Raw genomic sequence first — 24500 nt, 5'->3', positions numbered from 1 at the left:
CTGTGTGTGGGCAGGCTGCTCTGGTATGTCCTGGGGTTTCCAATGATGCAAACCATTCACTTTCAGTGGGGAAAAGAGCACAGAACAGGAAGGAAGGAGCCAAATCCCCACAGGGATTAGGCCCCGAAAGGCTGCCAGATGACACCACGGTCCACAACCATCCTGCTGGATAACCATGTGCTGCAGACCTGTTCAACTACTGTGTATCTAACACAGCAGTAACAAAGCCCATTCCTTTTTTTTTTTTTTTTTGAGACAGTCTCATTCTGTCGCCCAGGCTGGAGTGCAGTGGCGCGATCTTGGCTCACTGCAAACTCCACCTCTCGGGTTCAAGCAACTCTCCTGCCTCAGCCTCCCAAGTAGCTGGGACTATAGGCGCCTGCCACTATGCTGGCGTAATTTTTGTATTTTTTTTTTTTGGTAGAGACGGGGTTTCACCATGTTGGCCAGCTTGGTCTTGAACTCCCGACCTCAGCCTCAGCCTCGGCCTCCCAAAGTGCTGGGATTACAGGCATGAGCCACCATGCCCGGCCACAAAGCCTATCCTTAAAATGAAAGGAAGAACCTTCTAAATGAGAAACACAGCATCTATGAAAGATAAAAAGCCTGTGATCTATGCCTATAATTTTAAAAAGACAGAAATAAAATGCCAGCTTCAAAAAGAGGGAAAAAAAAGATTCCTAGGTAAACCATTGTTGAACTCAGAGCAGATGCTCTATGCTCACGGGAAGATGGCTAGGATTCTGCGAATATGAGTCCGGCACTGCTGCTCATCAGCGCTGTTCTGCTCCGTGTGTGTGCACAGGATGCCGATCCTCCTGCTGCTTCTCAAGCTCAGCTCACGCATTTACATGAAACACTCTCTTATGGCAGATTAAAGGGAAATCTTTCTATTTAAAATTTTAGACTCCTTGCAGTATATTTACATTTTAAATTGCTGGGATTTAACACTGGAAACAAGACATTCAAATCTTTACGAAACTCAAATGTCAACTCCACTGGCTGTTCTAATTCACCATAGTATCCTCCTACTACAAGTTCTCAATAGACGTTTGTTGAATATTGAATTAAGTTTATATTTTTGTAATTAAGCCACAATGGTAGATCCTATAACAACTTCTTCTCTATCCATTCTTAGAGGTTTTCATCTTCTCATGAAAAGAAGGCCCCACTGAGCTGAACATCACAGAACAAACTCCACTGAGAACCAGCATTACTGGAGGAAGGTGCTTGCTCCTGCGCCTATAGGCCTGCAATGAAGGCCTCTTAAGAACAGCATGGAGGCTGGGCGTGGTGGCTCACGCCTGTCATCCCAGCACTTTGGGAGGCCGAGGTGGGCAGATCACCTGAGGTCGGGAGTTTGAGACCAGCCTGACCAACATGGAGAAACCCCATCTCTACTAAAAATACAAAAATTAGCTGGGTGTGGTGGTGCGCACCTGTAATACCAGCTACTCGGGAGGCTGAGGCAGGAGAATTGCTTGAACCAGGGAGGCAGAGGTGTTGCAGTGAGCCAAGATCGCACCACTGCATTCCAGCCTGGGCTACAAGAGCAAAACTCCGTCTTGGGGAAAAAAAAAAAAAAAAAAAAAGAACAGCATGGGAGAGTCTCTTTGGGAAGTGGCCCTGTCTATGTGGAGAGCGCACCAAGTTTCACAAGGTGTCAAATGACAAAATCAATTGTAATCATATCAAATATTTTTTCCTGTTTGTCTCTTGTAAAAAACACAGAAGTTTAACGCATTTAGAGGGGTAACCACCCAGGTCCGGGCTGGCAAACTTATTCTGTAAAGAGCCAAGTAGTCAGTATCTCAAGCGGTACAGTCCACATGTCTCTTAACTCTGCTGCTTTCGAGCAAAAGAAGCCACAGACAACACAGAGTGAGTAAGGATGGCTGTCTTCCAATAAAACTTTGTTTACAAAAAAAAAACAGCAGGGTGGGGACTGGGCATCTGATCATCTCTGTGCTGGATGGATGCTAAAATAATCACAATGTGATTGACTTTAAAAAAGCACTTCACACTTGCTTGGCAATTAAAAAACAAATAACAAAAATAAAACACCTTCATTTATAAGCTCAAGATCACACAGAGTTTTTTTTGACATTCTCTTGATAGTTTCTTTTATCCAAAACCCATTAATAACTACAAAAAGGTTTTGTCTTTAAATAATCTGAAGAGATGATACAAATCCCATAGCAGCAGGAAAGTGTGCAGCCCACCTTCTTTTCGAGCGAGTTGCTCCACTCCTTCAGCAGGTTGACGTGCTGCACGGCGGAGCTGGCCTCGTGGGCCTTGATCTGCTGGTTTGTCCCCTGCGAGAGCAAACATGTGAGGCATTCAGCGAACCTCGCTGCATTTCAAAGGGCAGAACGGCTAACATACGACCCTAAAAGCAGCACTAAACACAAAGAGGGGAGACCTATTTGCGTCAAGTGAACAGGGAATCTCTGCGCCTAAGGAGGGCTGTGCTCAGGGCCACCTGGCTACTGCGTGCAGGTGAGGAGGCCGCCAGGAGCAGCAGAGCCAGCACCCTGCAGTGCCACAGTGAGCATCTCAGGGTTATCTCCGCATCCCTTCAGCTCATCTCAAGTGGCTTCTTATCAAGGGTTGACACTTGTAATATCAAGAAATTAAATTTTAAACTCATTCTTGACCTATTATAAGCTATTTTTCCCATTAAAATATAGCATAAGTGGAAAATGTTTAGATACCTGTAGTTGTAGCGAGATACTGCCACAACAGTCTAGTAAACACGTAAGCAAAGCAGGATTCAAAAGAATTTACTAAAGTATTAATGTATTAGTTCAAATACACTGTATCCAAAGATGTATTGCTCTTCACCATTCCAGTATTCTTAGAAAAGTTACATACAAAACAAATACAATCTACAGAGTACATAAGATGTAGACCATTTTAGAGTCAGGAATAAGCACATGAAATTGTACTTCATATATTTAAGAAAATAATTTGTCTGAAATATAATTTGTTTTGCTATTAGAAAATTAAGAAGCCACAGAAAGCATTTTAATGATCTCCAAAACATATACTCTGTACATAGAATATTCATATATATATGTTGATATAAGTGTTGCAATATATAAACATATATATACACATACACAGAGAGAATGAATGATACTACGTACGACAGAACAGGGGAGGCTCAGTCTTGTTAGAGACTAAAGCAAAGGAAGGCACAGTCATTCTTACTCTTTGGCTGTTCTCTTCCTCAGAAAATACTAAGATGCCAATCTCTCTGTACTGACTTCATAATAATGTATTGGTGCTACATAAAATATAAAATACTTTAATTGTAACATATACTGCCTCTTGATAGTTTTAAGATACATATATTTAAATGAAAACTCAGTTCCAATTCACTAGCAATCTCAGATGTGTTAAAAAATAAACAACAACAAAACACCAGATGCAGATTTCTCACACTACATGTGCGGCAGCAACAGAGATGCCCTCCCCACACTGTTCTCGGGGAGGTGTGCTCTCTATGAGCTGTGCTCCATTTTGCGTCTGTCCCCCGTTGGGGTCAGAGTCAGCACAGACATGTACATCAAATGCATTTATGGATACACACGTGTGTGATCGTTATGGCTGTGTACTGACACACACGCTGTTGAAACTATGCTCAGTTTGATATTCGCTTATATTCAGGTAACTGCTAAAATTTCCGTAACAATCTATCTGAAAACCCCACCAAATGTCAAGTCTACCTGTTGCATTACTAGCTGGTTTTGGATGTAGTACTTCTCTTAATGTATTAACTTCCACCTCAGCACAGTGTCTCCCTGAAGTCTCAAAGCACCACCAACTGGAAAGCGAGCATCCCACCTGCTGCATGTGGCTTTCGTCACCCATGCAACAGGGTGTTTCAGTTTCATGACAAAGAATAAGGAGTCCAGAGCTTGCATGTTAAAATGTTAATATAATAACTTTCTCTCATGGCAGAATGTCAGTGACTGGGAAGGACAAATGTCGGATACTGACCTGAAAAACGCAGCCATAGCGCTTAAAACTACAGGTGCTGGGGGCATTGACACACTCTGACAAGTGTGCACTCAACTGCAACGGGAAAGAGACGTGAGTTGTGGCACAAACGTTTGCATGAAAATGTTCAAACATATTAGGGCACAGATAGCATCTGAGCTGTACTATTAAGAATGGTGTTTATCGCTACAGGTGTGTATATATCATCTGCTGCCTAGACTTCTATGCAGTAAATATACGGTCTAGTCACGTGTATACACATATACGCCAATATACAAGAATACATTTACTATAACATTTCTTAAACTTCCAGTTTCTTTAGAACAAATTGTTCAATGTGACATGCCATCTGTAGTGCCAGAATTTAAAAAAGAAAGAAAAAACATAAACTGAAATGCACATTTAAAGACCATAAACAAAAATTGCATGAAAACACAAAAAAATAGAAAGCATTCAGAATGCAACTGGGTCACACACCTAATATACGGTACACAAAAATAAATATATTTTCAAAGCAAGCTTACACAATGTACCATTACTCATAATACTTGAGATAAGTGCAGATGAGTTTTTCCTTCATCTGAAAAGACTTTTTCCCTCTGTAAGGGCCAGAAACTCAGGTAGCTTTTCAAAGACCTCTAAGATCAGTCTAACCATACACTCTTACTACTGTCAACTCTAATTGATGGCAGGAAAATTAGGTGGGGCTGGGAGCAGGTAACTCGTTTTGCAAGAAAAAAGTCCCTTGCTCAGCTCAAATGCTGGTGAGTTATCAAATAAAAATTACTTATGATGCCCTAACAAGAGAAAAGGGAATGGAAAGGATTACATTTTAAGGACTTAGAGTCATGTGTTAGGCTAATACAAATGAGGTATAGTTTGGTCTTTTTCTTTATCATGCCCCAAGACTGAGCAGAAGTTTTGTCTTTTATTGAAGAAATTCCCATCAGGAAACTCTAGGGATAGATCTTCTTCACAGAAAACAGACTCTTTTTGGGAGGATGGGTGTGTGGGTGCAGCAGCCGGGAATGTGTTCTTCTGTGTGCCAGCATGCATGTGTTCCCAAGGCTCATAGAGCACATCCTCCTGGAGGGCGCAGCTAAGTTCTACAACTTCTCAGTCTACCAGGACAAAGGCGGTCCTTCCCTCTAGGTGGATATTTACAACAGAGGGGAAAATGGATCCCTGCTGCGAAACTAAGGAGGAGGGACACTGCGGGAAGGGACTGAGGGGCCCATGCGGCCACTGCTAGGGTCAACCTTCAAGGAAGGTCTCAGAGCCAGGGCAGAGTCAAGGTGGTAGGAACCTGGCAGCCTGACGCCCTTGCTGCTCCTCAGAACCCAGACCGGCTGCCCCTGCAGGAAGCGCCCACAAGGCACGTGACAGGTGACTGGCAAGGAAACGCAGTGTGAAGACTGCGCAGAACCAGGTTCATTTAAAAACTTGGAATGTATTCTTCCAGTGTCATTACTGCAATAACAAACCTGAGTGTCAACGCTATTACATGTTAAGCCAGGGACACACTGACACACTGGGTTTGATGTATGTTATTTTCAGTGTACTAGAGTAAATTCGGTGTTGGGTCTTTTTCTAAATTGGTTTTATTATCAGTATTCTGAGTCTCGGGGAATCTACAGGATCTCTGGAATAGGGGCAAGAATAATCTATAGCTCAAAAGCACCTTTCATCAGAAACCCAACAGAAATGCAGGTTTAACAATGTTTTAAATAAGAAATTATTGGCCGGGCGCGGTGGCTCACACCTGTAATCCTAGCACCTTAGGAGGCCGAGGCGGGCAAATCACGAGGTCAGGAGACGGAGACCATGCTGGCTAACAAGGTGAAACCCCGTCTCTACTAAAAAATACAAGAAATTAGCCGGGCGTGGTGGCAGGCGCCTGTAGTCCCAGCTACTCGGGAGGCTGAGGCAGGAGAATGGTGTGAACCCAGGAGGCAGAGCATGCACTGAGCCGAGATCACGCCACTGCACTCCAGCCTGAGTGACAGAGCGAGACTCCGTCTCAAAAAAAAAAAAAGAAATTATTTCAACAGCACAGACTCTTTATACATTAACAGAGGATTGTCCAGTTGTGGCAATAATTTACATTTATTTTTCCCTAGCTCCTCCCAGGGGCAGATTCAGGGCCCAGAGGCCACTGTCATCAGGCAAGACTTTGCCCTCACCCATCAGCTTCAAGGTGCTGGGAGGGCACACCCTGGGGGAGAGTGGCTCTCTGGGCCCTCCTCTACCCTGAGTCCCTGGCCCTAGCCCCACATGGGCCCTCTTGCTCAGTCAGGGGCATGCGAGGCTGGTTCTCCCTGTTACCCAGTATCCAGTGGTAAAATTTCAGGCTGTTGAAAAATGCTGAGGTGAAAAGGTGAGCCGGCTCCTTAGATCAGCGTACCACACATCCAGGGAGCCCAGGGTAGCCCCAGATGACTCCCAGAATACTAACTAAAGGAGCTCCCCGTCAGGACAGATGCAGAAACATTAAGAATCCTTGAAATTTTCCCAACTGGACATATCCTGATCAAGTGAAGTCAATGCAAAATCTACCTGTCTCAAAGAAAGAGTGCCAAGCGCAATGTGAGACGTGCAACCTTTGGGAGAGGCCACACAGGGGCCCTTCTGGCAGCCCTAAAATGTGGGAGCTGTCCTCCACCCGGCATGTGTGAGCAAAATGGTTCTGAAGTGTCTCTAAGTTAATTCATGTTCTTGAGATAATCTTACAGCAATTACTATTCTATAGAGTTAAAATTGCTTTAAAAACCCCTCGTCACCTTTGCTTGTACTGTATGTAAAATATTCCCATTTTCTTAATGCTTCACAATCTTTGCTCTGAATTTACCACAGTGTAGTTTTGTTTTGTTTTGTTTTTGAGACGGAGTTTAACTCTTGTTGCCCAGGCTGGAGTGCAGTGGTGTGATCTCGGCTCTGTTCAACCTCCGCCTCCCCGGTTCAAATGATTCTCCTGCCTCGGCCTCCTGAATAGCTGGGATTACAGGTGCGCGCCACCACACCTGGCTAGTTTTTGTACTTTTAGTAGAGACGGGGTTTCAGCACATTGGCCAGTCTGGTTCTGAACTCCTGACCTCAGGTGATCCATCTGCCTAGGCCTCCAAAAGTGCTGGGATTACAGGTGTGAGCCACTGTGCCCGGCCATACACTGTAGCTTTTAACCCTAATGCTTGCTTCTGACTTCCAAAAAATGGCATAAGGCTTTTTGCTGTGGTTTTTGTTTGTCTGCCATACACATGACTCTCACGAACTGGGAAAACGTGAGGCTTCGGCTATGCAGGGAAGGGGAGCCAGGCACGCAGCCCTGAGGACTCCACAGACTCCCGGCCGGGCCCGGCCGCCCCTACCTCGCTCCTCAGGAGAGTCTGGACGCTGCACTTGTGAGGGCAGGACACCACCACGCAGGGACAGTCGGTGTCTTCGTGTTTCTACAGAGAGAGAAAGTACTATCAACTTTAAACACACAACCTGTCTTCCTTCAGTCCCGCTGAGATCCCCATGGGGCCCCCAGGAATGGCTCTGCTCACCATCGCTGTCCTCTAAGTTATGGCACTCACATTACGTATGGCTGAGTCATTATTGTCACGGAGTGTGAGTGTCTCAGGATGCCACAGGTATCTCCAAAGATCTGGTCAGATCTGACCAGTGAGGGCGGCTTGCCTCAGAACAGTCTGCTGGTGGGGGCCTCGCCACAAGGGTTTCCCCTTAGCACGCCTCCTCTGTGCCAGAGCTGCTCCTGGTTCACACAGCCCCTATCGTGCAATGCTCAGGCAGGCATGGCCACTCACACAGCACTCACAGCACAGGTGGACAGTGGAGCTGGGGACCCAGCTGGTGTCTGCCTCTGCTGGTTGAGAGACGGAGGGTTTCCCTTGGCCTCTTAGTTTGGAGTCTGGAAATGATGCTTCCCAAGTATGTCAGAGCAGCATAACCTACTGAGTATTTACATTACTAACCTAGAACCTTAATCTACATTATCTTTAGTCCATAGAAAATTGGGATAGGTTTTGGGTTAGGCCTTCCCTAATAGCACAAACTTCACCTTTGCTAAGGCTGGATGATGGCGACTATTAAGCCCTATCCCATGGGCACCTGCTGGGTGCCTGTCCATGAGCAGAGCAAGGGCAAGGACTCCCCACAAGGACATCAACTGCAGGGCCCCTGGGGAGAGACTGATGAGGAAGAGCCAGAGATGGAGCCACGCTGAACAGTCCCTGCTGAGCAGAAGACTGTGGCAGCGGTTTCCCAGTGGCCACAGGATGCCTCAATCCTCCCCCATCCATCTTTTCAGGTCCTCTTTTGGCCTCCAGTTATGTTGCTGTTCTGCTGAAGGAACTGGGGAGGGATTTGCTGAGAGCCAGAGTCTGACTGGCGGGTCTGAGGGCTGAGGAGGGCAGCGGCCCACCCGAGGGAAGCTCGTCCTCGGAACGTGGTTGCTCCTCTCCCCCAGGAGCTTGCTTTCCTCGGCATGTTTCTAAGGCCCAACTCTGCAGGCACCCACAGTGGTTTTGCGGCAGAATAGGGATGGGGCTCAGGGCAGGGAGGCTGAGAAAGAAGGGAGTGGAGGGCAGCACTGTGGCCAGGGAAGAGAAGGCCACTCAGTAACTTTCTGTGTTCGACTTTCAACAAGCCCACACCAGTCTCCACTCCCAGTATCAGGGGATGCACGTTTCCACATCCTCACCAATTCTATCGCACAATCTTTGGCAATCTGATAGGTAAAAAAATGGGGTGAGTGGGACCTGCAATTCTTTAGTAATGTGTGGTTAAGCACATATATATGTGCTTTTTCTTTTTTTTTTTTTGAGACGGAGTCTCACTCTGTCGCCCAAGTTGAAGTGCAGTGGTGCAATCTTGGCTCACAGCAACCTCCGCCTCCTGGGTTCAAGCAATTCTCCTGCCTCAGCCTCCGGAGGAGCTGGGACTACAGGCAACACATCACCGTGCCCAGCTAATTTTTTGTATTTTTAGTAGAGGAGGGGTTTCACCATGTTGGCCAGGCTGGTCTCGAACTCCTGACCTCAAATGATCCACCTGCCTCGGCCTCCCAAAGTGCTGGGATTACAGGTGTGAGCCACTGCACCCAGTCTTAAGCATATTTTTGATATTAATCATTTCTATTTCTCTATTAATCATTTCTATTTCTTTTCCTGTGAAAAGGCATTTTCACAGCTTTTGACTACTACAGTGAGTTCAATAATGTCCTCCAAAATTCATGTCTATCTGGAACCTCAGAATGTGACCTTATTTGGAAATAAGATTTCTGAAGATGGCGTCAGTTAAGACGAAGACACCCTGGCGTCGGGCAGACCCTAAATCTAAAGACTGCCACCCTTAGAAGAGGTGAGGACATGCACTAGGAAGACGGCCACGTGAACATGGAGGGCAGAGGTTGGAGTGGTGCAGCCATGAGCCAAGGAAGGCCAAGGACTGCTGGTGGCTCCAGAAACTGAGAGGGGCAGGGAAGCCTTCCCTACAGTTGTCAAGAGACAGCAGGGCCTTGGTTTTGCATTTCCAGACCCAGAACTATGACAGGATAAATTTGTTTTTTGCAAGCCACCAACTTTGGGTTACTTTGTTACAGAAGCCAAAGGAAAATAACACATTCATTTTTTAAAAAACCCTGAATCTGCTGCTGATTTTTTTTCATTTGTCTATTAATGAAATCAGTCCTATCTATGAAATTAAATGTAATTCTGATCACACAAACATATATGTGCACACATGTGTGAGTTGAAAAGCACAGGCCGGGTGCGGAAGCCCAGCACTTTGGGAGGCCGAGACAGGCGGATTACCTGGGGGCAGGAGTTTGAAACCAGCCTGGCCAACATGGTGAAACCCCGTCGCTACTGAAAATATAAAAATCAGCCAGGTGCGGTGGCGGGCACCCGTAATCCCAGCTACTCGTGAGGCTGAGGCAGGAAAATTGCTTGAACCTGGGAGGCGAAGGTTACAGTGAGCCAAGATCGTGCCATTGCACTCCAGCCTGGGCGGCAGAGTGAGACACTGCCTCGAAAAAAAAGAAAGAAAGAAAAAAAAAGCATAACTACATAGTGAACACCCATGAAGCCAACACCCAGGTCCAAGAGCATGACTGATAACATCCATCTTCTGCACCTACCTCTCCCATCTCACCCTCATTCTCCCACAAGGAGTACCCATTAAAACCACAACCCTGAGTTTTGTAATTCTGCCTCTAAAAAGGTTTCACTATACATATGTGTGCCAAATGAAACACTGTTTCATTCTGATTGTTTTTGAATTTTGTTAATACAGAATTCTACCATAGGAGTCTTCTGGACTTCGCTCAGTATTACACTTCTTAGACTCATCTGCCTATTGCAAATAACTGCAGGCCTCTAACTTTCACTACTGTATGACACATCTCCTTGTCGTATAACAACACTGTAATATAATTTCCACCTGCTGATGGGTGCTCCGGCTGTTTCCAGATTTCTGCGGCTCTGGTCACACCTGGCCACATTTCCTGGCGTGTGTGTTTCTCCTACACATCCAGGAGAAGAACTGCTGGTTAACTGAGTGCCTGAATGTCCAACCTAGTAGGATACTGACAGTTGATTTCCAAAGCGGTCATACCTACAGACTTGTACCACGTATGCTTTCCCATAGGGTGAGATCTTTATCATCCTGACCTTCACAAGTTAACAGAGCTGTTTAAAGAATGATGGTCCAGAATTTCTAGATTAAATCTAAAAGGTTTGTTTCCTGACACTTTAAATTATGCTAACCTATAAATTTAAAAAGTAATAATAAAACCTGAAAATAGCTGGCATACTGTCTACACCACAGTTTAAACGTAGAAAAGAAATCCTTATATGAACTGCAATGGTCCAGGGTTTCCATGCATCCTCAGCACATTTTATCAACACTTGATGTTGTGACACACCACAGAACACAGGGAGTGTAGGAGAATTAGAATGACCTGGGCTTTAGGTCTCCCTACATCAGGACTGTTCTTCCTAGAAATAAACTCAACGAAGGCCTCAGGGGATGAGAATAAGGGTGTTCAAATTGAAAAAAAAAAAAAACAAAATACATGGGAATTAAATCACATCACTGAAAAGAGAGGTGGCCTAGGGCAAGGGCAAGTCACAGAACCAGGCCTGGAGCAAAGGCAGCCAACCAGCAACTGCTCTCCCCTGGTCAGGCTGAGAGGCAGGGGCAGATGCACTGGCAGGACCCCAAACACGCGTGCTTGCTGAAATGTCTGCAGGCCCTGAGAGAAGCTGACACACACCTTAAAATGCACTCTACTGTCAACACTGCTCAAACGGTTTTCAACTTGTTTCATCTCAAGCATGAAGTGCAATTTATAAGGAATGTTTGCACAAATCAGGCCCCAAACTCATTATCATTCTGTGCTTTCCATCTATTCTCTTTCTCCCTTGTCTTTAGTTGACAAATTCAAGGCCCAGATCAAATGAAAGGCAACCTCCTCACTAAAGCCTTCCTTGACACTCCGGCTAAGCTATTGTAACTGGTCCTTCCTTGTTGGCATGTTATTAATATTACAGTCCCAGTACTTCCCATACTAACATGAATTAAACTGTACATCTGGCTGTCTCTCTCATCAGACTGCAAACTGAAGGAGAGAGTGCAATTTATTCTCCTGTGCATCCTAAGCAACCAGGGCAGGGTCTGACGCCATTTCGTGAATCTATATGCTTGTGCTTAAACCTGACCTGTTACAGCCTCATCTGGTGTTCAGAGTCAGTTACTTATATGGTGTTTAACAGACATACGCTACGATTCCTTCTTAAACAAAAATCAGTTGTTGGATTCTATTCTGCAAATAAAGGTAACTGATTTTGGCAAGAAGCAAAATATAACTTTGATAGCTATATATTTATTTATTTTAAGTTCCAGGGTACATGTGCAAGATGCGTGGGTTTGTTACACAGGTAAATGTGTGCCATGGTGGTTTGCTGCACAGATCAACCCACCACCTAGGTATTATTAAGCCCCGCATCCATTAGCTATTCTTCCTGATGCTCTCCCTCTCCTAACCCCACAGGCCCCTGCGTGTGTTGATCCCCTAAATGTGTCTATGTGTTCTCATTGTTCAGCTCTCTCTTATAAGTGAGAACATGTGGTGTTTTTCTGTTCCTGTGTTAGTTTGCTAAGGACAATGACTTCCAGCTCCATCCACGTCCCTGCAAAGTAGATGATCTCCTTCCTTTTTTTCTTTTTTTTTTTTTTTGTTTTTGTTGTTGAGACGGAGTCTTGCTCTGTCGCCCAGGCTGAAGTGCAGTGGCACAATCTTGGCTCACTGCAACCTCCACTTCCCGGGTCCAAGTGATTCTCCTGTCTCAGTCTCCCGAGTAGCTGGGATTACAGGCATGTGTTACCATGCCCAGCTAATTTTTGTATTTTAAGTAGAGATGGGGTTTTACCATGTTGGCCAGGCTGGTCTTGAACTCCTGACCTCAGGTGATCCACCCGCTTTGGCCTCCCAAAAGTGCTGGGATTAGAGGTGTGAGTCACCGTGACCGGCAGATCTTTTTTTTTGAGACGGAGTTTCGCTCTTGTTGACCAGGCTGGAGTGCATGATCTTGGGTCACTGCAACCTACGCCTCCTGAGTTCAAGCGATTCTCCTGCCTCAGCCTCCCAGGTAGCTGGGATTACAGGCACCTGCGATTACAGGCACCTGCCACCACACCCGGCTCATTTTGTTTTTTTAATAGAGATGGGGTTTCTCCATTTTCGTCAGGCTGGTCTCGAACTTCCAACCTCAGGTGATCTGCCCACCTCGGCCTCCCAAAGTGCTGCGATTATAGGCGTAAGCCACGGCGCCCAGCCAATCTCCTTCCTTTTTATGGATACACAGTATTCCATGGTATAGATGTACCACATTTTCTTTATCCAGTCTATCACTGATGGGCATTTAGGTTGATTCCATGTCTTTGCTATTGTCAATACTGCTTCAATGAACATACATGTGCATGTATCCTTATAATAGAATGATTTATATTCCTTTGGGTATATACCCAGTAATAGGACTGCTTGGTCAAATGTTATTTCTGCCTCTAGATCTTTGAGGAATCGTCACACTGTCTTCCACAATGGTTGAACTAATTTACACTCCCACCAACAGTGTAAAAGCATTCCTTTTTCTCTGCAACCTTGCCAGCATCTGTTGTTTTTTGACTTTTTAATAATCGCCATTCTGACTGGCATGAGATGGCAACATATTAACATATGTAAAGCCTGAAGTCTTGTTAATTAGGCATGTGTCTCATTCACTGAAATTTAACAACTGGAGAAATTATTATTTTCGTTCTAGAGATGGGGTCTCACTTTGTTGCCCAGGCTGGTTTTGAACTCCTGGCCTCAAGCAATCCTCCTGCTTTGGCCTTCCAGAGTTCTGGGATTATAGGCATGAGCCATTATGCACAGCCTGGAGGAATTACTTGACTCCAAAAAAACACTACTGCTATTTTCCAAAGGGGAGGGCACAGTTCTTAAAAGTTCTTTTTTTTGAGACAGGGTCTCACTCTGTCACCCAGGCTGAGTGCAGTGGTGCAATTATGGCTCACTACCAGTCTCAAACTCCCTGGCTCAAGTAATCTTCCTACCTTGGCCTCCCTAGTAGCTAGAACTACAGGTATGCTTCAGCACACCCGGCTAAATTTTTATTTTTCGTAGAGGCAGAGTCTTGCTATGTTGCCCATGCTGGTCTCCAATTCCAAAGCTCAAGTGATCCTCCTGTTTCAGCCTCCCAAAGTGCTGGGCACACAGGTGTGAGCTACCACACCCAGCCTCAAGAGTTCTTAATAACTGGAAACATCTGAAGTACCACACAAGAAAAAGATTTCACAATGGAAGAAAGACATGGACACAGGAAAATTACAGAAAGCAAGGCAAATTCAGAGATTATAAAGTATTTAGTTGGTGCAAAAGTAATTGCCGTTTTTGCCATTACTTTTAATGGCAAAAAACGCAATTACTTTTGCACCAACCTAAGAGGACTACAACTCATTTCATAGAGAAAAAAGCAAAAGAAACTCTCCCTAAATTTTGGTCATTAGAGCTCCACGGCTGGGTGCGATGGCTCACGCCTATAATCCCACCACTTTGGGAGGCTGAGGTGGGCAGATGGCTTAAGCCCAGGAGTTTTGAGACCAGACTGGGCAACATGGCAAGACCCTGTCTCTACAAAAAATACAAAAATTAGCCAGGCATGGTAGCATGCACCTATGGTTCCTGAGGTGGGAGGATCACTTGAACCTGGGAGAAAGAGGCTGCAGTGAGCTGAGATTGTGTCACCGCATTCCAGGCCTGGATGACAGAGTGAGACTCTCTCTCAAACAAAACAAACCATTCCACAATATCTACCAGGAACTGGATGATGGCCCACGCCCTGGCTGAGCTGCCCTGGTGCCTCCCTTCAGTCACTTCATGGCCAAGCCCACCCCAGCCTCTAGGCAGCCTCTGAGGGTGTGCCCAGGCCCCCACGAGCTCTGTCCTCCTCTCCACTCGCTCCAGCCCCATGATCCTGCGAGCCACCAAACTCACCCCCATCTGCAGCCTGCATGGCTCCACTCCCCATTCTCCCCCAAGCCCATCACCCTCCACTCACTGGGCACCCCCTCGGCAGGACACCTAGGTTCTCCACAAGCACTGGGAGTCACCTTTACCTCATACCCCACCTGCTGGCCAATCCTACCGCTCCACCCTCAGGCACACCCCAGTACAACCTTCCCCCACCCCAGCAACACCAGGCCTTGCCCCGGGGCCCCTCTCACCCTCCCAGTTCTGGGCTGCCCAGTGCCTTTCCCCTCACCCTCTGGCTGCCCCACTGCCCTCACATCTGACCTGTGTTCCACACAGCTCCTGAACCCCACAGCCCTGCCAGTTCCAGCTTAGGGTCCACATGCTCCCCCACTGTCCCTTGGCTGCCTCAGACAAGCCAGTGCTGATCACCTCTCTTCCCTTGATGCCACCTGATTTTTATTCATGGAACTGATCACTACCCGATGTTACACATTTGTTAGTATTTTTTCCCACTAGAGGAGCCTCACCACTGAGTCCCCAGCTCCTGGAATACTGCCCGGCGCACAGTAGGTACCCAATAGGTGTTTGTTCAACAAATGCATTGTTTTCTAAGTGTGTCCTCCACCCCCAACATCTCTGCTTTCCTCTTTAATTCACCCACTCACCCATACACACACACCCACATTCACACACCCCCACACACTCACCCACATTCACACTCACCCCCACACACACTTACCCCCACACACTCACCCACATTCACACACTCACCCCCACAGAAACACACAATGCAAAACTGTGCCAAAGTAACCGAAGTATGAGAAGCTGTCTCTCTCCAAGATAAACAGCTGCATTTCAATGCTGTAGGACAAATTAGCCTGTTGTAAGTGATGGTTATGTCACAGAGCTGTAATAAGACCAGGCAATCTATCAACATTTTGAGGCAATTCCCTAGGACAAGATAAAAATTTTACCTTTTTTGAATAACTATTCATTTTTTGACATACTAAATGATAGTCAATCAAGGCAATGGAAAATGTTAACTACATAAATCAAAATAGGCAAAACAAAGCTTAATTCTGAAATAAAGTCAGATAAAAAGTGCTATTTATTCCTATCTTTTCTCTTTAGTCCTATTAGAATAGTCTTTAAGAAGCTGTACAGTGGAAGAAGTATATATTAATTGAGCAGAAGGCCTGTGGAATGGATTATTTATGAACTCAGCGGAAGGCCTGTGGAACGGATTATCTATGAGTTGAGGGAGGGCCTGCGGAAGGGATTACCTATGAGCTGAGCGGAAGGCCTGTGGAATGGATTATCTATGAGCTGAGCGGAAGGCCTGTGGAATGGATTATCTATGAGTTGAGGGAGGGCCTGTGGAAGGGATTACCTATGAGCTGAGCAGAAGGCCTGTGGAACAGATTATCTATGAGCTGAGCGGAAGGCCTGTGGAACGGATTATCTATGAGCTGAGCGGAAGGCCTGTGGAACAGATTATGAGCTGAGCGGAAGGCCTGTGGAATGGATTATCTATGAGCTGAGCAGAAGTCCTGTGGAATGGATTATCTATGAGCTGAGCGGAAGGCCTGTGGAACGGATTATCTATGAGTTGAGCGGAAGGCCTGTGGAATGGATTATCTATGAGCTAAGCAGAAGTCCTGTGGAATGGATTATCTATGAGCTGAGCGGAAGGCCTGTGGAACGGATTATCTATGAATTGAGCGGAAGGCCTGTGGAATGGATTATCTACAAACTGAGCAGAAGGCCTGTGGAACAGATTATCTATGAGCTGAGCGGAAGGCCTGTGGAATGGATTATCTATGAGCTGAGCGGAAGGCCTGTGGAATGGATTATCTATGAGTTGGGGGAGGGCCTGTGGAACGGATTATCTATGAGCTGAGCGGAAGGCCTGTGGAACGGATTATCTACGAGATGAGCGGAAGGCCTGTGGAACGGATTATCTATGAGTTGAGGGAAGGCCTGTGGAACAGATTATCTATGAATCGAGCACAAGGTCTGTGGAACGGATTATCTATGAATTGAGCCTAAGGCCTGTGGAACGGATTATCTATGAATTGAGTGGAAGGCCTGTGGAATGGATTATCTATGAGTTGAGGGAAGGCCTGTGGAACGGATTATCTATGAATTGAGCGGAAGGACTGTGGAACAGATTATCTATGAGTTGAGGGAAGGCCTGTGGAACGGATTATCTACGAACTGAGCAGAAGTCCTGTGGAACGGATTATCTATGAACTGAGCGGAAGGCCTGTGGAATGGATTATCTACGAATTGAGCGGAAGGCTTGTGGAACGGATTATCTGTGAGCTGAGCGGAAGGCCTGTGGAACGGATTATCTATGAGTTGAGGGAAGGCCTGTGGAACGGATTATCTATGAATTGAGCGGAAGGCCTGTGGAACGGAATATCTATGAACTGAGTGGAAGGCCTGTGGAACGGATTATCTATGAGTTGAGGGAAGGCCTGTGGAACGGATTATCTACGAATTGAGCGGAAGGCCTGTGGAATGTATCATATAGGAATTGAGTGGAAGGCCTGTGGAATGGGAGGACCCGCACCTGCAGCGCGATCATCGGAACCTGACTCTTGCAGTGGCTGCATGTGGCTTCCCGGTATTTACACGCCTTCTCCACGTGGTCTCGCAGGTCTTTCCTCAAGACCTTTTCTTTGCAGTCAGGACGCACACATGGAAGTTCTTCAAAATGGCAATCATTTTTTAAATGCACCTGTAAGACAGACCATTCAATGTTCTTAATTGGGAAAAAAACCCTAAATCTGAAATACCAGATTCTAATCTCTATGCAATGAAACCCTAAAGAAATGTTTCTCATCTGCTGTTAGACCAGTTTTCCACAGCAAAGAGTAACAAGTATGCCAAGAGACACTGAATTTCATATTCTATTTCATGATTACTCAAACCATATTGTTGTTGAAGAATTAAGTCAACTCTGCTTCCAGGATAAATGAATATCTGCTAAGAACTTTGTTTTATTCCAGTTCAAATAATTTTCTAAGCTAAAATATGGTACTAACTAAAAAAATAAGAAGTTATGTAGAATTTCATGGTGAAAAAAGGTTTTAATGGGCCTTCCAAAATTAAAATCCAATTCAGATTTTCTCTATTCTAAGTAGGGGGGGGAGTGTTTAAAAACCAGTTGACAATTCTGCCAATGATGTCATAAAAATAACAACTTATACTCAAGTGGTTCTGACTGCTTTCCTATTTGGCTGTGTTTTGAAAAACTAATGTCAACATGGTCTTAAAGTGCCACATCCTACTGACCACTTCATCAGCTGGATGTAAGGGACTCGAATTCCTTCATGTAAAAGGTTCCAGTGTCCCTTTGCTACTCACCAGCAGATGTCCCAGCATTAACTGCTCTGCACAACCTCTGCTTTCATTCCGACAATAGATCTGAAGAGCCAGAATTTCTCTCTTGCAGCAATTATCCTTAAACACCTGAAAATGAAAGATCATTATTTTGGAGGATTAATATTTCTTAATCTCCACATGCTGCTACTTTGGACAAGGCAAAACCACTTAAAAAAAAAAAACAAGAGAGGAACTCTTAAGTGAACTTCAGAAAGCATTAAGGACCATCTTGATTTCTAGAAGTAGAATGAAGAAGCTGCCCCCACTAAGAGACACAATTTAAATAACATTAACTGTTATCTTTTATTAGTTAAGCCAAAAGAAAATGAATTAGACTTGATAATTAACGATCACTCTGGAGCATCTAAACATCTTCTATTAACTTTGACATAATTTCAGGATGAGGGCAGAGGAGGACCAGGTTCACATTCAGACTCTGGGGCCTTCCGGGAGCCAGCACGGAGCAGGTGGCCATTATGGTGCAGCTGTCACCAGAGGACAAGAGCAGAACTGGACACAACTGAATACATTGTATAGATCGCTTGCTGGAGAAATGGAGAGACCACATAAGAGACCATATTTGGGGAATGATTTGTAAAACTGTTGGTTCCTTCTAAAGGTCATGCTGTTAAAACTCATTTTTCACCAAAAAAAGCAGCATTAGCCTGTGGTTGAAAAACACTCTCTTTAAACATATATTGCAGTCTGAAGTTAGTCTAATAATGAAAAGATTTCCCTTTGAAAATGAAAACGAGGCTGGGCGTGGTAGCTGAAGCCTAAAATCCCAGCACTTTGGGAAACCGAGGCAGGAGGATTGCTTGAGTCCAGGAGTTTGAGACCAGCCTAGGCAACACAATGAGACCCTATCTCTACAAAAATTTTTTTAAAAAATTAGCTGGGCAAGGCAGCATATGCGCCTGCAGTCTCAGCTACTCAGGAGGCTGAGGCAAGAGGACTGCTTTAGCCTGGCAGGTAGAGGATGCAGTGAGCCATGATCGCACTGCTGCACTCCAGACTGGGCGACAGTGGGAGACCCCCATTTCTTTAAAAAAAAAAAAAAGAAGAAGAAAAAACCTTTCAACTTTTAATTTTATTTTTCCCTTAGAAAACACAAGTATTCTCATTCTCACTCTTTTTTTAAGAGACAGGGTTGACTGGGAACAGTGACTCACCTCTGTAATCCCAGCACTTTGGGAGGCCGAGGTGGGTGGATCACCTGAGGTCAGGAGTTTGAGACCAGCCTGGCCAACACGGTGAAACCCCATCTCTACTAGAAATACAAAAAAATTAACCGGGTGTGGTGGCACATGCCTGTAGTCCCAGCTACTCGGGAGGCTGAGGCAGGGGAATCGCTTGAACCCGGGAGGAGGAGGTTGCAGTGAGCTGAGATCACGCCATTGTACTCCAGCCTGGGCAAGAGAGTGAGACTCTGTCTCAAAAAGAGACAGGGTGGGTTTCACTCTGTCACCCAGGCTGGAGCGCACTGGTGCAATCATGGCTTCACTACACCCTTAAACTCCTGGGCTCAAGCGATCCTCTCACCTCAGCCTCCTGAGTGGCTTGAACTACAGGCGCATGCCTCCAAGCCCAGGTAACTTTTTAATTTTCATTTTTGTAGAGATGGGGTCTCCATATGCTGCCCACTCTGGTCTCGAACTCCTGAGCCCAAGTGATCCACCTGCCTCAGCCTCCCAAAGTCCTGGGATCCCAGGCATAAGGCACCATGCCCAGCTCCCTCTCACTCTTTCTAACAACACGATCTACAACATCTTAGTCCAAAGGTTATTTCTAAGAAACTCCTGCCTGTTGCTCTATGAAAGTGGAATAACAGGAGCTTAATGTGCCTTTTTGGACTGCTGAGAGAAATAAAATCAACAGCTGTTAAGAGTTAAAAATAAACTAATTTGGAGCCAAAGCTTATCTTTCATAAACATGACTAAAAAAAAAAGAAGGTCATGACTTGAGATACTAAAGTCAACAGAACTTTGGAATGGAAAGGATCTGAGACTATTTACTCAAAATGTCTCTGTTTACAGATGAAGACCAGAGGCCCGCCCACCCCTGGATGACCTGCTGACGGGTGAGGATCCGGGTCACCCGGGGCCCAGACAGCTCCATTCTCTCCATGAGGGTCCACAACTTGAGTGCATCTCGTTCATGATTCTTTGATAAAACTAGCCATTTTTCTTCAGCTACTTATGTCATTAAAAAATAGGGATAATGATTCTGCATAACAAAACAGAGATACTAAAAAAACATCTCAGCCATCGTCGCGAGCTTCTCTCTCACTCACACGTTAGGCACATGTTAACAAGGCGGCCGAGTACCATGCTAGGCCAAGGCACAGAGTGGAGGGGAGGGGCTGTTTTCACTCAAGGAACTAACCAAGCCTGCAGCAGCAGCAGGTAAATGCAGAGAAAGAAAAGGTACAGGGCCAGGTGGCCAATTCCATCTCTCCCCCTTCCAGAGCGGCTATACTGGATGCCTGTGTGCCTGGCAGCCCAGGGACACTGACTACCAGCAATCCTCAAATCACTGCACTCACCTGGGCTGCTCTGACCAACAAACCCAATCTGCAAGGTGCTTTAGACAGGAAAACCCCAGAGTAAGAATTTTATTGTACAACTTAGTGACCTGCATTTAAAAAATGGTTAGGTATATTACTCAAAGTAGGGAAACACACATTTTTATTGATATTTTAAGCACTTTAAGAATGAATTGCTGGGTGCGGTGGCTCATGCCTGTAATCCCAGCACTTTGGGAGGCCGAGGCAGGTGGATCACCTGAGGTCAGGAGTTCGAGACTGGCCTAACCAACACGGTGAAACCCCGTCTCTACTAAAAATACAAAAATTAGCTGGGCGTGGTGGCTCGTGCCTGTAATCCCAGCTACTCGGGAGGCTGCGGCATGAGAATTGCTTGAACCTGGGAGGTGGAGGCTGCAGCGAGCCAAGATCGTGCCATTGTGCTCCAGCCTGTGCAACAAGAGTGAACTCTGTCGCAAAAAAAAAAGAAAAAGAAGAAAGAAAGGAGAGAGAAAGAAAAGAAAAGAATTGTTTCAAACTCCAAGTATACCTGGCAGGGTACAGCAGCACATGGATGACTGTCAGTCTCCATGAGAAGGACCAGGCCCCAGGAGAGAAGCTGGTGGCAGGCTGGGCAGCCCCATCCTCTGAATGTGCAGAGACGCCCACGGGCTCTAGCTGAGGACAGCCACAGGGGGCGAGAAGGGGCTAATCTCACTCATGTCTAATGACTTAAAGATATCACAGGGGGCCTGGGGGGCAGGGAGCACAAACTCAAATGAACCCCTCAGCCTAGCGAGTCTGAAGGTAAAACCTAGTGTAAGAGTTGAGTAGAAGCTGTCTGGGATAAAGACCTGCAATGACGGAAGTGACCCAACCACAGACAGCCCTGCCACAGACAGGCATCTCAGCACTTTGCTCACATCAACCCCTTACTCCTCACACCAGCTCCCTGCGGTCTTAGCAGGTGATATGATTATTACAGGTGAGGGGGTGAAGTAGCTCACAGAGTTCACACAGTAGGGAAGTGGCCAAGTGGATCTGAATCCACTGTCTGCCCAGGTGATCACATGGCACAGTGTCCTGCCTGGGAGCCTGCCGCATCAGCTGCCAAAACTGAGAGAATGTGTTGTGCCAGAGTGCCGAATGCAAACTATGTGAAAAGTATTACCCAGCTGAAAACATGTGACAAAATGATTAAAAAAAACCCCAGAATACCTTATCTTTAACGATGCTCTCTTGACACGCTGTACATTTTGGACTTGAAGAGCTGCAGGGAAACACAAGTGACTGCATTAGAGTGGAAGTCCCTTTCTTGAGAGGACTCAGGAGATTCTGGGAGCATTCACTTTATGGTCAGGTCTGCACAGTGGCTCACAGCAACCAGCAGAGCTTCAGGACGCCCTGGTGATTCACTTTACATAGGAAGCCATGGGAGAAAAGGGCTACATTTTTTAAAATGCTGATTTTTCAAAAGGAAGTTACCAAGTAGAACAGTTTAGTTCAGTCCCACTTGGAAAGCCCCTTCCACTTAATGTAAAAGTGAAATTTTATTTCAGAAACCAAAGCTAGCTGTCTGCAGAGCAGCTCTTCAGTGTGAGTACCTGTTTACTTGGAGAGCCTTGCTCCTGCGTTGTAAAAGCAGCCAGCCCTTCTCCACAGGCCATTTGGCTTCACTGTCTATTGGAAGGCCAATGGCACCTGCACAGGGGGACCAGCCTCCCTCCCCTGTGGCCCACCATATATGGGGGCTCCAGCCCCTCCTCCACCGGGAAGCTTCTCCTGGGCCCAGAGGTGTAGTCCAGGCTCTTGTGTTAGGAGACACGGTGTTCTGTGTCTCCTGTGCTGTCACTAAGCTCAAGTGTCATTTTGCCCCCAAGTGGGCAAAGGTTAGCTGACTATTTGGGATGAGTGGGTAAGACCACAGAGGGAAGCATGGAGAAGGGGGAGGGTGAAGGCAGGTGACAGGGCAGGGGGCTGGCTGCTGTGCCCAGGCTGGGGCTCGGGTGCAGCCCAGGCTTGAGTGCTGTGGGAGGAGGAGCTGGCAACCTTCCCAGGCCGACATGCCCTGACGGCAGTGGCCAAGACCAGGGCATCCCGCAGCGACCCCAGCACCCAGCACAATGCCAGAAAACATGAGGCCTGCAGGGTGAATCAAGGTGCTCTTCTGGCCGATGCTATTCTGCAGTAAAGCTCCAGCCTGCCTTCATGATCCACCAGCGGTACCAGCACTGGCACTCAGCAGCAAAGGGCTGCCATGGGCTCGGTGCATGTTCCACACACGCCTGCTGAGTAAGCATGCGGCCTAGGTTTCTGCTCGGGTAGGGACCTGTCCAGTCCTTTAAGCTGACCCCATCCTCCCTCCTCTCTGCGGCATCCTTGCACACCAGCACACGTGCCCTTAAATGACTGGCTTGTCATTTCCTGGTGTATCTCCTCCATGGAACTGTGAGGTTCCTCAATAAAATACAGCAACACATATGAGGGGCACCAAGGCTCTACAGACGGAGTGGGAAGACACGGGCGGGGCAGGTCAGAGACACGCAGAGGCCTCAGTAAACCCACACGTGGGATCCCACTGCACCTCCCTAAAGGATTCACAAGCTGGGCCCGGAGGCTTTTATGGACTTCTTTAGGGCTTTAAACCTCTAGAGGTTTATTTTTAGAGAAACGAATGAAGGAGAGGGTGAGGCCGAGGGCTGAGAAGGGGCCGGGCGACGGGCCGGGCGAGGGCGCCTACCTCAGCAGGGCCGCCATGCAGCTCTCGCAGAAGCGGTGCCCACACTCGGTCTGCTTCGGGCTGCACAGCACCAGGTGGCACTTCTCACACTTGTACTTGTCCTCCACGGTCTTCACAAACTTTTCCTTGTAACCTCCTTGTTCAGGGACAAAAACTGGCGTCCCAGCACTGCGGTCAGTGTGCAGCTTTAGCGGCGGGTTAGTCTGCAGCGCGCCAGGAGAGTCCATCTTTTTACTCGACTCCATTTTAGGAAAGAGGAGTTCTGTCGGGAAAAAACAGTAGAGTGCCATCATATCCTCTCATGCAAGGAAACAAACACAGCTTTGGGAAAGCAAAAGTGCCTGAGACCTGCTGTCTTTCAGTTTTAGGCAACACAAGAATCCTTCCCAACTTTAATATGTGTTGGGAACAAAACATGATCAAATATGCTTCCATCCTTTCTATTTTACCCAAACACATAGTAACTATTGATATTATTATTCAAAAAACTTCCTAAAAAGTATACTTAATAAATTGGGATGAGGTGGAAAGATTGCTGAGCCCAGGAGTTGAAGGTTGCACCAAGCTATGATGGCACCACTGCACTCTAGGCTGAGCAACAGAGCGAGGCCCTGTCTCCAAAAATTTTTTTTTTTTTTTTTTAGACGGAGTCTCGCTCTGTTGCCCAGGCTGGAGTGCAGTGGCGCCATCTTGGCTCACTGCAAGCTCCGCCTCCCAGGTTCATGCCATTCTCCTGCCTCAGCCTCCCGAGTAGCTGAGACTACAGGCGGCCACCACCACACCTGGCTAATTTTTTGTATTTTTAGTAGAGACGGGGTTTTACCACATTAGCCGGGATGATCTCAATCTCCTGACCTCGTGATCTGCCTGCCTCAGCCTCCCAAAGTGCTGGGATTACAGGTGTGAGCCACCACACCAGCCAAAAATGTTTTAAAGTTAATAATACAGTATTTTTGAGGTTTAAAAAAATACATATACTATTTTGCTGTGTTGTAACTTTGAATTCAATGCATCATTCTGAGATTTTAACTGAAACAACAGCTGTTCTCAGCCAGTTTTCCTTCCTCATTGACTTCCGCTAGATGAGTCTCAATGCTACAACTCAGACTGGCCTGGTCAACCTGCTTCTGGAGCCCAGGGGTTGTTCCTTCCTGGGTAAACCCTGTGACAGTGTGCCCACAGTACTCAAAGTGCTCAGTTTTGACATTCACCCTCATCTTATTAATCTAGCACCACCCTGACCCAGCATGCTGTGCACAGAGCTGTGGAGTGGGCCCGTTGTGGACCCACAGAGCACGTCACACCAT

General features: G+C 46.4%; 1 protein-coding gene across 18 annotated transcripts in view, besides 3 other annotated features; it reads right to left on the bottom strand.

The window, feature by feature from the left end:
• The window catches only part of TRAF3 (TNF receptor associated factor 3), a 134052-nt gene that overhangs the window by 17861 nt on the left and 91691 nt on the right, over positions 1 to 24500 (bottom strand). For 7 of the 18 annotated variants that reach the window (NM_145725.3, NM_001385142.1, NM_003300.4 and 4 more), the window contains 7 exons: positions 23194 to 23455; positions 21672 to 21723; positions 17912 to 18016; positions 17115 to 17282; positions 7371 to 7451; positions 4006 to 4080; positions 2223 to 2315 (listed from right to left, as the gene is read on the bottom strand). In NM_145725.3, coding sequence (NP_663777.1) covers positions 2223 to 2315; positions 4006 to 4080; positions 7371 to 7451; positions 17115 to 17282; positions 17912 to 18016; positions 21672 to 21723; positions 23194 to 23438 — 819 coding nt within the window. In that variant the 5' untranslated portion in view covers positions 23439 to 23455. The remainder of the gene's footprint in view (positions 1 to 2222; positions 2316 to 4005; positions 4081 to 7370; positions 7452 to 17114; positions 17283 to 17911; positions 18017 to 21671; positions 21724 to 23193; positions 23456 to 24500) is intronic. The other 11 variants (NM_145726.3, XM_047431739.1, XM_017021619.2 and 8 more) reach the window with 5 other exon arrangements.
• Positions 1930 to 2430: an enhancer, noted in NCBI's record as "H3K4me1 hESC enhancer chr14:103357547-103358047 (GRCh37/hg19 assembly coordinates)". NCBI's record gives its function as "activates a minimal SCP1, AML or CMV promoter by ChIP-STARR-seq in primed H9 embryonic stem cells {active_cell/tissue: H9 hESC(primed)}" and the evidence as "EXISTENCE:reporter gene assay evidence [ECO:0000049][PMID:30033119]".
• Positions 2431 to 2931: an enhancer, noted in NCBI's record as "H3K4me1 hESC enhancer chr14:103357046-103357546 (GRCh37/hg19 assembly coordinates)". NCBI's record gives its function as "activates a minimal SCP1, AML or CMV promoter by ChIP-STARR-seq in primed H9 embryonic stem cells {active_cell/tissue: H9 hESC(primed)}" and the evidence as "EXISTENCE:reporter gene assay evidence [ECO:0000049][PMID:30033119]".
• Positions 6775 to 7974: an enhancer, noted in NCBI's record as "BRD4-independent group 4 enhancer chr14:103352003-103353202 (GRCh37/hg19 assembly coordinates)". NCBI's record gives its function as "activates an origin of replication core promoter dependent on BRD2, P300/CBP, MED14 and CDK7 cofactors, and independent of BRD4, by STARR-seq in HCT116 cells {active_cell/tissue: HCT116}" and the evidence as "EXISTENCE:reporter gene assay evidence [ECO:0000049][PMID:35650434]".

The sequence above is a fragment of the Homo sapiens genome, chromosome 14, assembly GCF_000001405.40.
Source record: "Homo sapiens chromosome 14, GRCh38.p14 Primary Assembly".
Taxonomy (NCBI): domain Eukaryota; kingdom Metazoa; phylum Chordata; class Mammalia; order Primates; family Hominidae; genus Homo; species Homo sapiens.
Note: the sequence above shows the minus strand (reverse complement) of the source record. Positions and strands in the feature narration are given on the sequence as shown.